At 38.0% G+C, this 16392-nt stretch overlaps 1 protein-coding gene across 2 annotated transcripts in view; it reads left to right on the forward strand.

Moving 5' to 3' along the window:
- RAB10 (RAB10, member RAS oncogene family) overlaps positions 1-16168 on the forward strand; it is a 104170-nt gene extending 88002 nt beyond the window's left edge. For both annotated transcript variants that reach the window (XM_047443004.1, NM_016131.5), the window contains exons 4-6: positions 5858-5947; positions 6564-6665; positions 13652-16168. In XM_047443004.1, coding sequence (XP_047298960.1) covers positions 5858-5947; positions 6564-6665; positions 13652-13735 — 276 coding nt within the window. In that variant the 3' untranslated portion in view covers positions 13736-16168. The remainder of the gene's footprint in view (positions 1-5857; positions 5948-6563; positions 6666-13651) is intronic.
- The last annotated feature ends 224 nt before the right edge of the window (positions 16169-16392 follow it).

A 16392-nucleotide genomic window follows, 5' to 3' on the forward strand; every position in this document is an offset into this window, starting at 1 on the left:
CCCACCTTTGTCTACCCCCTTTTAAACTGTCATTGACCCTTGAACTGCAGGTTCACTTACACATGGATATTTTTGTTTAAAGAGATGGGGACTCGCAGTGTTGCCCAGGCTGGTCTCAAACTCCAGGGGTCAAGTGATTCTTCCTTCTCAGCCTCCCAAGAAGCTGGGATTACAGGTGTGTGCCACCACACCCAGCTCTATAAACAGGTTTTTAAAAACAAATCTTTTGGAAAAAATGTTAGAGACTTGCAACAACTTGAAAAACTCACAGACAAGCCACATAACCTAGAAATATTGGGCGGGGGGGAAATTAAGAAAAAGTTAAGTATATTATGAATGTCTAAAGTATATGTAGATACTAGTCTATTTTATTACTACCATAAAACATACACAGATCTATTATTAAAAGTTTAAATTTATTAACACTCAAACACACAGAGCCCATACAAGGCACCTTTTGCATCAAGAGAAATGTAACAGAGATGCAGTATTAAATCATAATTGCATAAAAATAACTAATACATACTGTACTACTGTGATAATTTTGTAGCCACCTCCTGTTGCTATTTTGGTGAGCTCGTATGTTTCCAAGTGTCTGCTTAAAACACCATGTGATGTGGATCATCTCCCCGTGAACAGTTTGTGTCTCCAGTAAATCCCATATTGCAATCAAAAGAGGTCTTTTGTGGTTCTTGCGTGTTTTCATCGTGTCTAGTGCAATACCATAAACCTTGAATAACACCATCAGACCTATACAAAGTGCCACTAGTGATGCCAGAAGCAATCCTGAGAAACAGAAAAGTCATGACATTACAAGAAAAAATTGAATTGCTTAATATGTACTGTAGAATGAGGTCTGCAGCTGTGGTTGCCCGTTATTTCAAGATAAATTAATCCAGCATAAGGACCATTTTAAATAAAAGAAAATTTGTGAAGCCATCACTGCAGCCACAGCAGGAGGTGTGAAACCTTGCACTTTTTACAGAATACCTTTTTATCTCATGTTGAAAATGCAGCTCTTATGTGGGTACAGGATTGCTATAAGAAAGGCATACTTGTAGGCTGGGCGCGGTGGCTCACGCCTGTAATCCCAGCACTTTGGGAGGCCAAGGCGGGCAGATCACGAGGTCAGGAGATCGAGACCATCCTGGCTAACACGTTGAAACCCCGTCTCTACTGAAAATACAAAAAATTAGCCAGGCGTGGTGGCGGGCGCCTGTAGTCCCAGCCACTCGGGAGGCTGAGGCAGGAGAATGGTGTGAACCCGGGAGGCAGAGCTTGCAGTGAGCTGAGATCACACCACTGCACTCCAGCCTGGGCGACAGAGCGACTCTGTCTCAAAAAAAAAAACAAAAAAAAAGGGCATACTTGTAGACTATGATATTCAAGAAAAAGTGAAGTTATTATATGACAACTTAAAGCAAAACGGAAGAGAAGCTAGAGGAGTTAATGCCAGCAAAGAATGGTTTGATAATTTTAGAAAGAGGCTTGGCCTAAAAATGGCAGGCTAACAGGAGAAGCAGCTTCTGCTGACTAAGACACAGCAGACAAGTTCCTGGGCACCGCTGAACAAGTCTTTAATGCAGTTAAAAGTGTCCTATTCTCGGGGTGGCAGGGAGGGGGGCAGGCCACAAAGGACATGAGTGTTAGGAAAAGAAGAAAGCACAGGGAATTAAGGCAGGAAGGGATAGGCTAACTACTGTTCTGTGCAAATGCAATTGGGTTTATGATCAGGACTGACTGCCCTTACGTATAAAGTTGCTAACCCCCAAGACCTGAAGGGAAAAGTCTTTTGAAGCTGCCAGTTTTTTGATCATTCAACAAGAAGACCTGAACACTGAGAATCCTTTTTCTGGATTGGTTCCATCAATACTTTGTCCCTGAAATCAGGAAATACCTTGCCATTATGGGACAGCCCTTTAAAGTTCTTTTGATGTTGGACAGTGCCCCTGGCCACCCAGAACCCCATGAGTTTAACACCGAAAACATTGAAGTGGTCTACTTGCCCCCGAACACAGTCTCTAATTCAGCATCTAGATCAGGGGATCATGAGGACCTTTAAGGTTAATAACACACGGTACTCTAACCTCAATAGAACATCATGAAAATCTGGAGGAATTACACCGCTGAAGATGCCATCGTTATAGAAAAAGCCATGAAAGCCATCAAGCACAAAACAGTAACTTCCTGCTGGAGAAAACTGTGTACCGATGTTGAGCATGATTTCACAGGATTTGTAGCAGAGCCAGTCAAGGAATTTATGAAAGAGACTGTGGATAAGACAAGAGCTAATAGACATCAACCAGAGGAATCAACAGAAGATGATTTAATGAAGATGCCGGTGCTTCCAAACCAGCGTTGGACGATAAGGAAGAAGGCAAAGAAGTAGTGCCAGAAAACAAATTGACTGTAGACAATCTGGCAGAAGGGTTCTGATTATTCAAGACTGCTTTAGACTTACTGTACAACATGGACCATTGTGTGATACAGGCACTGAAACTGAAGCAAATGATGAAAGAAGGATTGGTTTTGTATAGAAATATTTTTAAAGAAATGAAAAAGCAAAAAAGAAATTACAATGTTTTTCCGTAAAGTTAAACTGAGTGTGCCTGCCTCCCCTTCCACCTTCTCTACCTCTTCTGCCTCTGCCTTCCCTGAGACAGCAAGACCAACCCCCTCCTCTTTCTCCTCCTCAGCCTACTCAATTTGAAGACATTGAGGATGAAGACCTTTATGATGATCCACTTCCACTTAATGAATAGTAAATATATTTTTCTTCCTTATGATTTTCTTAATAACATTTTCTTTTCTCTAACTTTATGGTAAGAATACAGTATAGAATACATATATAAAATATGTTAATCGACTGTTACTGATAATACTTCTGGTTAGCATCAGGCTGTTACTAATTAAGTGTTTGGGGAGTAAAAGTTATACATGGTATACCCTTACCCCCATTGTTCAAGGGTCAACTGTATGTTGTTTTAAATCAGCATATTTTATAACTTTCCTAGTTTTTTTTTTTCTTATAGCTACAGGAAATGAAGTAACCGCAGCCATTTGGCAGTTTTGTTGCTGTTGTTTTTCTTATTGTTGTTGTTGCTTTTTTTTTTTTTTTTTTTTTTTTTTTTGAGACAGGTTCTTGCTTTGTTGCCCTGGCTGGAGTGCAGTGGCAGTGATAATAGTTCACTCCAGCCTTGAGCTCTTGGGCTCAAGTGCTCCTCCTGCCTCAGCTTCTTAAAGTGTTGGGATTACAGGCATGAGCCCCCGTGCTCAGCCTATTGTTGTTTTTGAATACTTTTTAAAATTGTGGTGAAATACATACAACATGAAATTTTCATTTTAACTATTATTTTGGTGTATAGTTCAGTGGTGTTAAGTACATTCTACTGTTGTGCAACCGTCACCACCATCCATTTCCAGAACTTTTTCATCTTTCTGAACTCAAGCTTTGCATCCATTAAACAATGATTTCTGTCTCCCCCTTTCCCCATCTCCTGGCAACTGTCACCATTCTATTTTCTATGAATTTGACTGTTATAGGTACCTCATATAAGTGGAATCATATAGTATTTGTTCAATTTGTAAGTAATTTACTTCATTTAACATAAAGTTTTCAAGGTTCATCTACATTGTAGCATGTGTCAGAACTTGTTTATTTTTTGAGGCTGAATAATATTCCATTGTTTTTATATGCCATGTTCTGTTTATTCATTCACCCATTGTTGGATATGTGGGTTGTTTTCACCCTTTTACTATTGTGAATAATGTTGCTGTGAACACTGGTGTACAAATATCTGAGTCCCTGCTTTAAATTCTTCTGCGTGTATACCCATGAGTGGAATTGCTGGATCATATGATAATTCTGTGTGTAACCTTTTGAGGAATCACCAGACTTTTCCACAGTGATTGCACCATTTTACATTCCTACCAACAGTACACAAAGGTGTCGGTTTCTCCACATCCTCGCCAATATGTGTTTTCTGTTTTTTTAATAGTAGCCATACTAATGGGTATGTAGTGGTATCTCTCATTGTGGTTTTTGATTTGCATTTCCTAATCTTAGTGATATTGAGCATCTATTCATGTGCATATTGTTTGTTTGTATATCTTCTTTGAAGAAATGTCTATTCAAATCCTTTGCTTGCTTTTTTTTTTTTTTTTTTTTAAATTTTTTCCAGACAGGTTCTTGCTCTGTTCCCCAGGCTGGAGTACAGAGGCATGATGATCATGGCTCACTGCAGCCTCAACTTCCCAGGCTCAAGTGATTCTCCTACCACAGCCTCCTAAGTAGCTGGGACTACAGGCACACACCACCGTGCCTGGCTAATTTTTAAATTTTTTGTAGAGATGAGGTCTCACAGTGTTACTCAGGCTAGTCTCGAACTCCTGGGCTCAGGCAATTTTCCTGACAGCCTCCCAAAGTGCTGTCATTTTTTGTTGTTGTTAGGAGTTTTAGGTGTTTTTTATATATTCTAGGTATTATTCCCTTTCAAATACATGATTTACAAATATTTCCTCCTTTTTGTGGGTAGTCTTTTCATTCTCTTGATAGCGTCCTTTGTTGCACAGTAGTTTTTAACTTTGATGAAGTACAGTTTAACTACTTTTTCTTTTATTGCCTGTGCTTTTGGTATCATGTCAAAGAAACCATTGCCAAATCCAGTGTCCTGAAGCTTTTCCCTATGTTTTCTTCTAAGAGTTTTATAGTTTGAGGTCTTTGATCTAGTTCAAGTTAATTTTTTTATATGGTTTAAAATAAGGATCCAGCTTCATTGTTTTGCATGTGGATATCTGGTTTTCCTAGTGCTATTTATTGAAAAGACTGTCCTTTCCCTATTGACTGATTTTGGCATCCTTGTCGAGGGTCATTTGACTAAGTATGTGAGGATTTATTTCTGGGCTCTCTATTCCATTCCATTAGTCTGTGTATCTGTCTTTATGCCAGTTCCACACTTTTTGATTTGCAGTAAGTTCTGAAATTTGACTCCCCCAGCTAATATTATTTTGGCTGGGCTCAGTGGCTCATGCCTGTAATCCTAGCTCTTTGGGAGGCCGATGGGGGTGGATCACTTGAGGCCAGGAGTTCGCGATCAGCCTGGCCAACATGGCAAAACCCCCCATCTCTACCAGAAAACTACAAAAATTAGCTGGCATGGTAGTACACACACCTGTAGTCCCAGCTACTCACAGCTACTCAAGAGGCTAAGGCAGGAGAATCGCTTGAACTCGGGAGGCGAAAGTTGCAGGAAGCCCAGATCACACCACTGCACTCCAGCCTGGGCAACAGAGCAAGGCTCTGTCTCAAAAAGAGAGATTCTTTTGATGTTAGATTCCATATGAATTTTTGGATAGATCTTTCTATTTCTGCAAAAATTGTCATTGGGATCTTAAGGGGACAACCACTTGTTTTTAACTGATTTTTCTGCATGGACCTCCTTGTGCCATAGCAGCACAGCTATTTGAGAGTTTAAGGCTCTATAAAATGTTTAATTAAGGCTTCTATAGGGTAGTATGCATTATAAAATCTGAAATGATCCAGCCTGGATTTAGATTATGCAAGTTTCTTTGCTTGTATCTTCTCTTTTGGTAAGAAAGAACATACCTAGAAAGTAGACAGCCTCCTTTAGGGAGGAAATAGTATTTGACATGGATATGTCTTGGGAATTGCGTTTCTTTTGCTAGGTAATCTAAGAATTTGTGTAGGCTTTTAGTATGGAGTAGTTTTAGGGTGACTGCTTTAAAACTTCAAAGCTATAGAAATGACCCTCTAAATTGAGAGAATAAAGTCACTTTTAAAGACTGTTAAGCCGTAATTCATGGTAGTATGTAAAAGTAAAATTTTATTTCATTTTAGCATGCCAATGAAGATGTGGAAAGAATGTTACTAGGAAACAAGTGTGATATGGACGACAAAAGAGTTGTACCTAAAGGAAAAGGAGAACAGGTAAAAATCTGAATTAAACTGATACTCTGCTCTGTCTTTGTAAAGGTAATGCTACTTTTGATTATTTTTATAGTAATAGTGATCGAACACACTAAGCTAATTACATAGTTTTTAAAATGCTTGTTGGAAATAATATTTTATCATTTGAGTGAATTTTTTTTCAGTGCATATTTAACATGTATGGGAGAATCAAATGTGCCCATAGTATTTTTAGCCTTATTTAAACTACAAAGAGAGAAAAATATAAGTCATTAATCCTCGGTTTTTAAACTTAGGACTTTAAGGAAATGTATCAATTAGTATGGTTCTAAAATGTGACAATCAGGAGCCTATGGTGAGCAGAAATTAGACCCTGAGGAGTCAGGTTGAGCTTCTCATAAGTTTGCCCCCAGTGTGAAGTATCTGACTTAGAATATCTGAAATAAACTTTTGGGGTAAGGAGATTACTTTTCTTTTGTTTGTTTTATGAAAGAGCTTGACTTGCTGAAATATTCTGTGTTATATATTCTAGTTGGGACCACTGCCTTCAGAATAAGATTAATATTTAAGCTGTTAAAGTCAGCAGTTGGCAACCCATGCTTGATAATTTTATGATGATATTTTGTTTCTGTTTTAGATTGCAAGGGAGCATGGTATTAGGTTTTTTGAGACTAGTGCAAAAGCAAATATAAACATCGAAAAGGCGTTCCTCACGTTAGCTGAAGATATCCTTCGAAAGGTAAGTTCCTGTTTTTATATCCTGCCAGGTACCTGAGTATCTCTGTTGAATATTTTGTCTATTCTGAAGTACTGGATTTACATACAGAATTTGAGTTTGGGTGGTATTGTTTCTGTAGGGCAGCAGTCCCCAGCCTTTTTGGCACCAAGGACTGGTTTCATGGAAGATAATTTTTCCATGGACCGTACTGGGGGGTAGTTTCACCCAGAAACTACCCCACCTCAGATCATCAGGCGTTAGATCCTCCTAAGGAGCACGCAACCTAGATCCCTTGCATGTGCAGTTCACAGTGGGGTTTGCACTCCTATGAGAATCTAATGCTATCACTGATCTGATGGGAGGCGGAGCTCAGGTAATAATGCTCACTCACTTGCTGCTCACCTCCTGCTGGGTGGCCCCGTTCTTAACAGGCCACGGACCGGTAAGAGTCCACAGCCCCGGGGTTGGGGACTTGTGCTATAAGGAACTGGGGAAACAGAAAGCCATCTAGAAATCTGAAGGATCTAGTCAGTGGTAACCATTAATATTCTGAGCTCCACAGTCACTGTCTAGTCCCTAGTTCAATTATTTTTTCCAGCTTTTTGTCTTTTCTAGCCTTTTTACTCTTGGACTCATTTCGCTTAATGAGTACTTTGCATTCTCAAAGATAATTTAGGAAATTTTAAGAAATGAATCTATTAAGTAGTTATTGCCACAGAATTGCTATTCTGCCATATTAGTCACTTCTCAGGCAAATAAAGGGCGTGTACATATTCTGTACGTACTGAATAAAACCTATTATGTAAGAAAATAAATAATGCTGAAAATGTGATCTTGGGGAATTTATATTTTACCTCAGGTTTGTTTCTGGGTTTAAGATTTGTGACTCTCAATATTTGCTAGTGTAAGTAACATGTAGTCAAATTAGGAAATCGGATTTTCGTATTTTCCCTCGAGTGAATAGGTATAATGCATGGATTTGGTTATGAGTCCTGAATTCTCTGTTCAATCTGTTGAAATTTTAAATGCAAATAAATACAGATAAAATCTGACATACATTGGCCAGGCGCGGTGGCTCACGTCTATAATCCCAGCACTTTGGGAGGCTGAGGCGGGTGGATCACGAGGTCAGGAGATGAGACCATCCTGGCCAACACGGTGAAACCCCATCTGTACTAAAAATACAAAAATTAGCTGGGTGTGGTGGCACGTGCCTGTAATCCCAGCTTCTTGGGAGGCTGAGGCAGAAGAATCCCTTGAACCAGGGAGTCAGAGGTTGCAGTGAGCCGAGATCACGCCACTGCATGCCAGCTTGGGGACAGACCAAGACTCCATCTCAAAAAAAAAAAAAAAAAAAAAAAAAAAAATCTGACACACATCCTAAAAGAGAAGCAGATGTTGTATAGGAGAAAATGTAATTACATTTGGTAACCTTTCTATTTTTATATTTGAAATATTAATATATTTTTCTAAAACCAACCTATACATAAAAGGTAGATGTTTGTTTTTAAATTTTCTTAACCAACCAGTTTTCTTTCTCCACTTTGGAAGGACAGAGACATTAGCTGTAGTAGAGGTGGTATGTCACATATAAATCTAGTGAAATTTCTGAGCAATTATAAGAGATTGAGTTGAGATATTTACATTGAAGTAAATTATATAGAGGCATTAAAACTAAGGGACCTAATTTTTAGAGTGAAATGTAGGTATCTGTTTACTACAATTGAATATTCAAACTGGAAAAAACAGTCATCAGTTATTGCTCTTCAATGGGACTAAAAAATTGGTGCCCTTTTGAGTCTGCCAGCTTCCTTGCATATCATATTTTGGGATTTCCTGCTTTAGGAGATGTTTTTCTATGAGAATCCAGTCAGATCAAAAATTGAATTTTATTTCAGAGAATGAGAGAGGCTGACAGCAATTAAAATAAGTATAAAAGATCTCCATAGTGTATTGAGTGATAAAAAGCAAATTAGGATATAATATGTGAAGTGATCTCATTTTTCAAGATTATATGATACCAAACATACATATGTACACGCAGATACATTTTGTTATTTTTAGCAACTAGAGAACTGGAAGGGTAGATACCAAAGTCTAAATAGCACTCCAAGAGAGTGATGGTGGTAAGGGGGACGGATCATAGGGCAGATTCATTTACCGACTATAGGCAGTTTAGTTTTGAAATTTCAACAGCTTTCTTTTTTGAATTATAAAAACAATTTTAAGATTTTTTTTGAAAGAATAGTCTTTCACAATTGAGTTAAGGTGAAACCCATTAGAATTTCTTGAGAAAATAAATCTATATTATTTATTGTTCTTTTGAAGAGCAAAAGAATAGAAGAATACAACTAGGAAAAAATGTGTTTCTTTCTTTCCTTTTTTTTTTCTTTTTGTGACAGGGTCTCACTGTGTTTCCCAGGCTGAAGTGTAGTGGCTGTTGGCAAGTGTGATCATGCTGGCCATAGCCTCAAATTCCTGGCCTCCAGTGATACACTAGTAGCTGGGACCACAGGGGTATGCCATCAAGCCTGGCTTGGTCTCTCTCTTTTTTTTTTTTAATTGATGGGGTCTGACTATGTTGCCCAGGCTAGATTTGAACTCCTGGGCTCAAGCCATCCTCCTGCTTCAGCTTTCTGAGTAGCTAGGACCACGAGGACACATCACCATCCCTCACTAATTTTCAGATTTTTTGGTAGAGATTGGGGGTGTCTCACTGTTTTGTCCAGGCAGGTCTTGAACTCATGGCCTCAAGTGATCCTCTCACCCTGGCCTCCTGAATTGTTGGAATTACAGGTGTGAGCCACGTGCCAAAAATTGTATTTTTAATTAAATGAAGGGAATAAAAGAAATAGAAAAATGCTTGTTTTAAACTTGGTGGAAGGTACTTTGTATTTCAGACATTAATGGGTCAGGATGAAACATTATCCAGTATTCACAATCGAGTTAAAGACCAGGATAAGACTGGCAGGAGTTACTGCAAGACCTAGTGAAACGCTCTTGTCTCTGTGTCCTTTCTCTTTCTGGGCTTTTTGGTCTTCGTGGTTTCTGCTTACTTTCTGTCTATACTATGTCCTTTGATCTTCTCATCAGTCTTGGCTTTTTTTTTTTTTTTTGAATAGTGCTATATAGCCATTATATATATAATTTTGTGCCCCAGTGAGATAGAGCTTTCCTTATTATCATTATTAAAGGTTAAAGTATGAGTATACTATTAAATAAAGATCTCAGTCTAGACTTGCAGGGGTGTCCAATCTTTTGGCTTCCCTGGGCCACAGTGGAGAAGAAGAATTGTCTTGGACCACATATAAAATACACTAATACTAACCATAGCTTGTACGCTAAAGAAAAAAAAATCACACACAACAAATCTCATCATGTTTTAACAAAGTTTACGAATTTGTTGTATTGGGCTGTGTGCAGGCTGCAGGTTGGACAAACTTGGTCTAGAGTTTTCCCCAAGTAAGCAGGCCCAAATACTAGGTAGCAATTTTTTTTCATACACATCCATACACTTAGATGTGGTGAAGTTGTGAGTTAAAACAGCAAATGTAAACTTCCTTCACATTAGAATTAACTTAAAATGAAAGCAATTTAAAACATCTTTTAATTTAATTATTTGGCTACATGATTCATTCTCTTGCTTCAAACATTTTAAAAGGAGAAAAAAAAAGGATACAGAAATTTCCCACCTTGTTCCCTTTAATTCCCTCAATGTTACCAATTCCTCATTTCCCCCTTACTCCCCAGGTAACTGATGTAATTAATTTATCAGTTATTACTCTGAGTAAATATGAATATATATTTTTGTCCCACCCCACCCCCACAACCTTTTCTTTTTAACAGATGAGGTAACATACTCCACTGATTGTCACTTTGCTTATTTCACTTACTATAAGCAAAATAATTTTACTTTTTAAATAATTACATGCTATTCCTTTGATTGTTTATATCATAATTGAACAAGTCTCCCAGTGAGGGACATTTAGATTATTTTCAAACTTATGTGCACATTAACTGTGTGTGTAGTACATAATCTTGTATTTAAATTATTTTCCACACGCACATACATTTGAAGGACAGATTCTGAGAACTGGCCAAAGAGCGTACATGTATGTACATTTGCAATTTTGATAAATACAGCCAAAGTCTGTCCTGAGGGTTATACCCATTTACACACCCACTTGCAGTATATGAGAATATGTGTTATTCACACCCTGGTCAGCACAGTGGATTTACAAGACTCAGATCTTTCCCAGTCTAACAGGTTAAAAAATGTAGATTTAATTCGCAGGTAATTTCTGAGTAAGGCTGAGCATTTAAAAACATTTGTTTGTTTTGAGACGGAATTTTGCCCTTGTTGCCCAGGTTGGAGTGCAGTGGCATGATCTCGGCTCACTGCAGCCTCTGCCTCCCAGGTTCAAGAGATTCTCCTGCCTCAGCCTCCCAAGTAGCGGGGATTACAGGAGCCCGCCACCACGCCTGGCGAATTTTTATATTTTTACTAGAGACAGGGTTTCAACATATTGGCCAGACTGGTCTCGAAGTCCTGACCTCAGGGATCTGCCCACCTTGGCCTCCCAAAGTGCTGGGATTACAGGCGTGAGCCACCACGCGTGACCTGAAAACATATGTTTAAGAATCACTTTTACATTTCCTTTTCTGTAGTATTTTTGTTTGTTTATTCCTTTGCCCAATTTTTCTATTTGGTTATTGGCCTTTTCTTATTCTTAGCTAGGAGCCAGCCTAAAACTTTTAATAAACTTAATTAAAACTCAACTTCAACTTAATAAATATTTTGGCTGTAAAAGATTTTGCTCCGCAAGAGATACCCCCCCCCCTTTTTTTTAAATCTGTTTCAAGGATCTAAGTTAAATTCTAAAAAGATAAGAAAATCAGTTGTAGGAGCCTCCCTGGTTGTCTTTAACCTGACTCATACCTGGAAGTTCCCAGAGAGAGAGTATTTTCAGTGCAACTGTACTTTTTTTTCTTGCTGGATGCTGGTCTGCCCCTTTTTCTTCTTTACATTTTTCTCAAAGATCTGTATTAGGAGCAAAGTCACTTGTACTGGAAACCCCACAGAGGTCTTTTTAATGCATAATTTGCTGCTTTAACATACATGGAGGAGAAGAATCCCAATTAGGCAGTGGGAGTAAGTAGGAGAGCTCTAAGGGCAAGTAGCAGTGTCACTTCAGTATGAGTTAACTAGGCTTGTCTTAGGCTACTTGAGGTTTTAAAATATTTTTAAAATATTTTAATTTTTTCCCTCTTGGGCTACAAAAGCCCTTAACTTTATATTGTTTCCATGAGAGAATAAGTTCTCAGGTACGTCCTAGCTTTCAAAATGTTGTGATGAACTACTGTTCTATACAATAGCATCGATAAATCTCAAAGACTGATACTGAGTGAAAGAAGCCACAGAGAAGAATATATTCAACTATGGTTCCATGTATATGAAGGTTAGGAATAGAAAAAAACTAATCTTAGATGATAGAAATCAGAATATTGGGTAACTTGAAGAGAGCAGTACTGGCAGGAAAGGGGCACAAGGGAGCCTTCTTGGGAGTATTATGTTCTATATCCTGATCTGGTAGTTTGACAATATATACTAAAAATATATCAGGCTTACACTTAAGCTTTATGTACTTTTCTGTATGTAAGGTATCACTTTAAAAATATTTTTAATATATAAAAATGGGCCTACCCTTTTAAAATACTGTATTCTGATTTTTTTTTCTTTTTCTTTTTCTTTTTATTTTTTGAGATGGAGTCTCACTCCGTCGCCCAGGCTGGAGTGCTGTGGCGGGATCTTGACTCACTGCAACCTCTGCCTCCCGAGTTCAAGCGATTCTCCTGCCTCAGCCTCCCGAGTAGCTGGGATTACAGACGTGCAACACCACACCCAGCTAGTTTTAGTAATTTTAGTAGAGACAGGGTTTTGGCATGTTGGCCAGGCTGGTCTCGAACTCCTGACCTCAGGTGATCCACCCGCCTCGGCCTCCCAAAGTGCTGGGATTACAGGCCTCAGCCACGACACCCGGCCCTTCTGATTTTCAAAGTAATATTTAGTGTTGGGAAAAAGCAGAATTATACTAAGAATAAAATTAAATCAACCATAATTTTACCACCTAAGGGTTGCTACTGTTAGTATTTTGTTGTATCTCCTTTGGGGTTTTTCGGTGTTTTTAGAGGAGTTGGGAGGAGTCTTACTCTCTTGGTCTGTTGCACAGGCTGGAGTGCAGTGGAGTGATCATAGCCCACTGCAGCCTTGAACTCCTGGGCTCAAGTGATCCTCTTGCCTCAGCCTCCTGAGTAGCTGGGACTACAGGCTTGAGCCACTGTGTCCAGCTAATATTTTAAATTTTTTATACAGATGGGGGTCTTGCTGTGTTGCCCAACGTGGTTTTAGCTCCTGGCCTCAAGTGATCCTCTCACCTTGGCCTCTGAAAGTGCTGGGATTACAGGCGTGAGGCACTGTGCTCAGCCATCTATATCCATTTTTAACATGAATTAGATAACTACATTTTGCTCCACTCCTTTTCACTTAATCAGTTGAGGTTGCCTTTTTAAAACTATGATACAGTAATAAAATTGGTCTAAAAAGGCAGATAACAGAAAAGGGCAGTTTTATTTCTGTGACGTTACATATACCTAACACTGGTTTCATACAACTTGCTCCACAATGCCTTTTAAGTACTAAACATATTCAGAGGTCAGGGCTAGAAGATAACAAAATCTATTTAAGAGTTAGAGCTGAGAAGATTTCAGAAGCTTTATAAAGGCATGCCAGGAAATGTCTACAATATTTCACAGCTTGGAGGAAGCAGGCAAAAAGAAAATCAAAACAAAGCTTCCAAATCTTTACTTTGCACGGAGGGGAAACCTATCTCCTGTGATTGTAGTTGTATTTTGTTGTATAAATTGACATAAGAATATTCCTGTTGAATCGTGATTTTATCCATGGCAGTGTTTTTTCATGAGTTATTTTCCTTGTGTGTTTGTTGCAGACCCCTGTAAAAGAGCCCAACAGTGAAAATGTAGATATCAGCAGTGGAGGAGGCGTGACAGGCTGGAAGAGCAAATGCTGCTGAGCATTCTCCTGTTCCATCAGTTGCCATCCACTACCCCGTTTTCTCTTCTTGCTGCAAAATAAACCACTCTGTCCATTTTTAACTCTAAACAGATATTTTTGTTTCTCATCTTAACTATCCAAGCCACCTATTTTATTTGTTCTTTCATCTGTGACTGCTTGCTGACTTTATCATAATTTTCTTCAAACAAAAAAATGTATAGAAAAATCATGTCTGTGAGTTCATTTTTAAATGTACTTGCTCAGCTCAACTGCATTTCAGTTGTATTATAGTCCAGTTCTTATCAACATTAAAACCTATAGCAATCATTTCAAATCTATTCTGCAAATTGTATAAGAATAAAGTTAGAATTAACAATTTTATTTTGTACAACAGTGGAATTTTCTGTCATGGATAATGTGCTTGAGTCCCTATAATCTATAGACATGTGATAGCAAAAGAAACAAACAAAAGCCAGGAAAACACTCATTTTCGCCTTGAATATGTAAATGGGATTAATTTTGTCCTGTGCCTTATGTGGAAAGGAACTTCTTTGGTTTTCCTTTTTTGTTCTGGTGGAAGCATGTGCAGGAGACATATCATCCAAACATAAACCATTAAAATGTTTGTGGTTTGCTTGGCTGTAATTTTCAAAGTAGTTAATTGAGGACAAAGGGTAATGCAGAAGTGATAGCTTTGGTTTGCTGAGTCTTGTTTTAAGTGGCCTTGATATTTAAAACTATTCCTGCCACCATTTCTTCTCCTTGGCCACTTCTTCCTTGCGTCTCCCTGCATGCTGCTTTATTTGCTTCTCCCTCCCCAACCACCTCATGGTATATTTAAGAGTGAAAGGGACAAACTAGTAGGTTTGTCAAGTTTAATATAAAGCACTGATGTAACTTGCTAGGTAAACGGAAAGATAAGTTCTAACTGCCTACTATCCAATGTCAGTTAATTGGTGTCTTCCCCCCTCATTTGCTCTCTTCCCTAAAATGTGTCCCAGATGCCTTCATTTGCTGTTTTACTTCTATGTTCTGCTTTTCCTCCTCTCTTTGTTCCCTTCCTGTCTATCCATTGAGTTTATGAAATGGAAGAGTTAACTGCATGCACTAGTGTTTGGAGGGTGTTGTGGTTTGTCTTTCTAATTAGGTGTATAGCCTATTCACTTTCCTAGAATAAATCTCTTAACCTAAATTTGAGTAGTCTGCATTTTGGCAACTCCTCTAGCAGCTTGGTAGCCTAGTACAGGTTGTTTTTTTAAAAAAGGAAAAGCAGGAAGGAGGAGTGAATTTTATTAACATGTTTGCCAAATGTATTGAGATTTGGCCTCTGAAGAACACTTTTTCAGTGTTAAGTTTCTTTACCTTAAGATTCAGAAATACTTTAGAATATTATTAATTTTAAGTCCTGTCTTTACATCCTTTTGGAAAACTTGTATTACCATGGGTTTGGAAAAAGGACAACGAAAGGCTTTTCATGTAAAGATAAGATCTTTAGCTATCTCTAACCCTGTCCTTTTTTCACTGCATTTTTTCTAGTTTTGCTTCATTGCTTATCATTAGGATAGGGTAAGTGAAGTTTGCTATGCTGCTAGCATCCTAAGATGATACCTTTGTTGAAAGAATTGTGAATAGCATGATTCATTTCTAGCAGAGGCTGAGTTTAGGACAGCAGCTTCCATTGAGAAGTCTTTCTGTGTCGTGAATAGCATTTTAATGACCTCTTGGCTCACATAAGCAAACAACATAGGGACGTATCTGCTATGAAAATCCACAAATTTTTCAGATAGTGCCCTAAAAACAATTTTATATGCCTCACTGGTTGTTATTCTTAGGTTATTCCCACACTTGACTTTATCATTGTTTACTACTAGTAAAAAGCAGCATTGCCAAATAATCCCTAATTTTCCACTAAAAATATAATGAAATGATGTTAAGCTTTTTGAAAAGTTTAGGTTAAACCTACTGTTGTTAGATTAATGTATTTGTTGCTTCCCTTTATCTGGAATGTGGCATTAGCTTTTTTATTTTAACCCTCTTTAATTCTTATTCAATTCCATGACTTAAGGTTGGAGAGCTAAACACTGGGATTTTTGGATAACAGACTGACAGTTTTGCATAATTATAATCGGCATTGTACATAGAAAGGATATGGCTACCTTTTGTTAAATCTGCACTTTCTAAATATCAAAAAAGGGAAATGAAGTATAAATCAATTTTTGTATAATCTGTTTGAAACATGAGTTTTATTTGCTTAATATTAGGGCTTTGCCCCTTTTCTGTAAGTCTCTTGGGATCCTGTGTAGAAGCTGTTCTCATTAAACACCAAACAGTTAAGTCCATTCTCTGGTACTAGCTACAAATTCGGTTTCATATTCTACTTAACAATTTAAATAAACTGAAATATTTCTAGATGGTCTACTTCTGTTCATATAAAAACAAAACTTGATTTCCAGCTGTGTGGTTTGGTTTTCATTTATTTATGGAATTGGAAGATTACTTCTGAAAAAAATGTGGAATCGCAAACTCAAAGAGTTGACAAAAATGGGAAATCACTGTCAACCTATGGAAAACTGGAAAGGCAATTTCAAGAACTGTCTTTGCTGAGAAACTACATTAAAAAATAGAATTATCTCTGGGATCCTAAAGCGGAATCATCCTTGTGCCAAAATAGGAGAT

The sequence above is a fragment of the Homo sapiens genome, chromosome 2 (assembly GCF_000001405.40).
Source record: "Homo sapiens chromosome 2, GRCh38.p14 Primary Assembly".
NCBI classification, from domain to species: domain Eukaryota; kingdom Metazoa; phylum Chordata; class Mammalia; order Primates; family Hominidae; genus Homo; species Homo sapiens.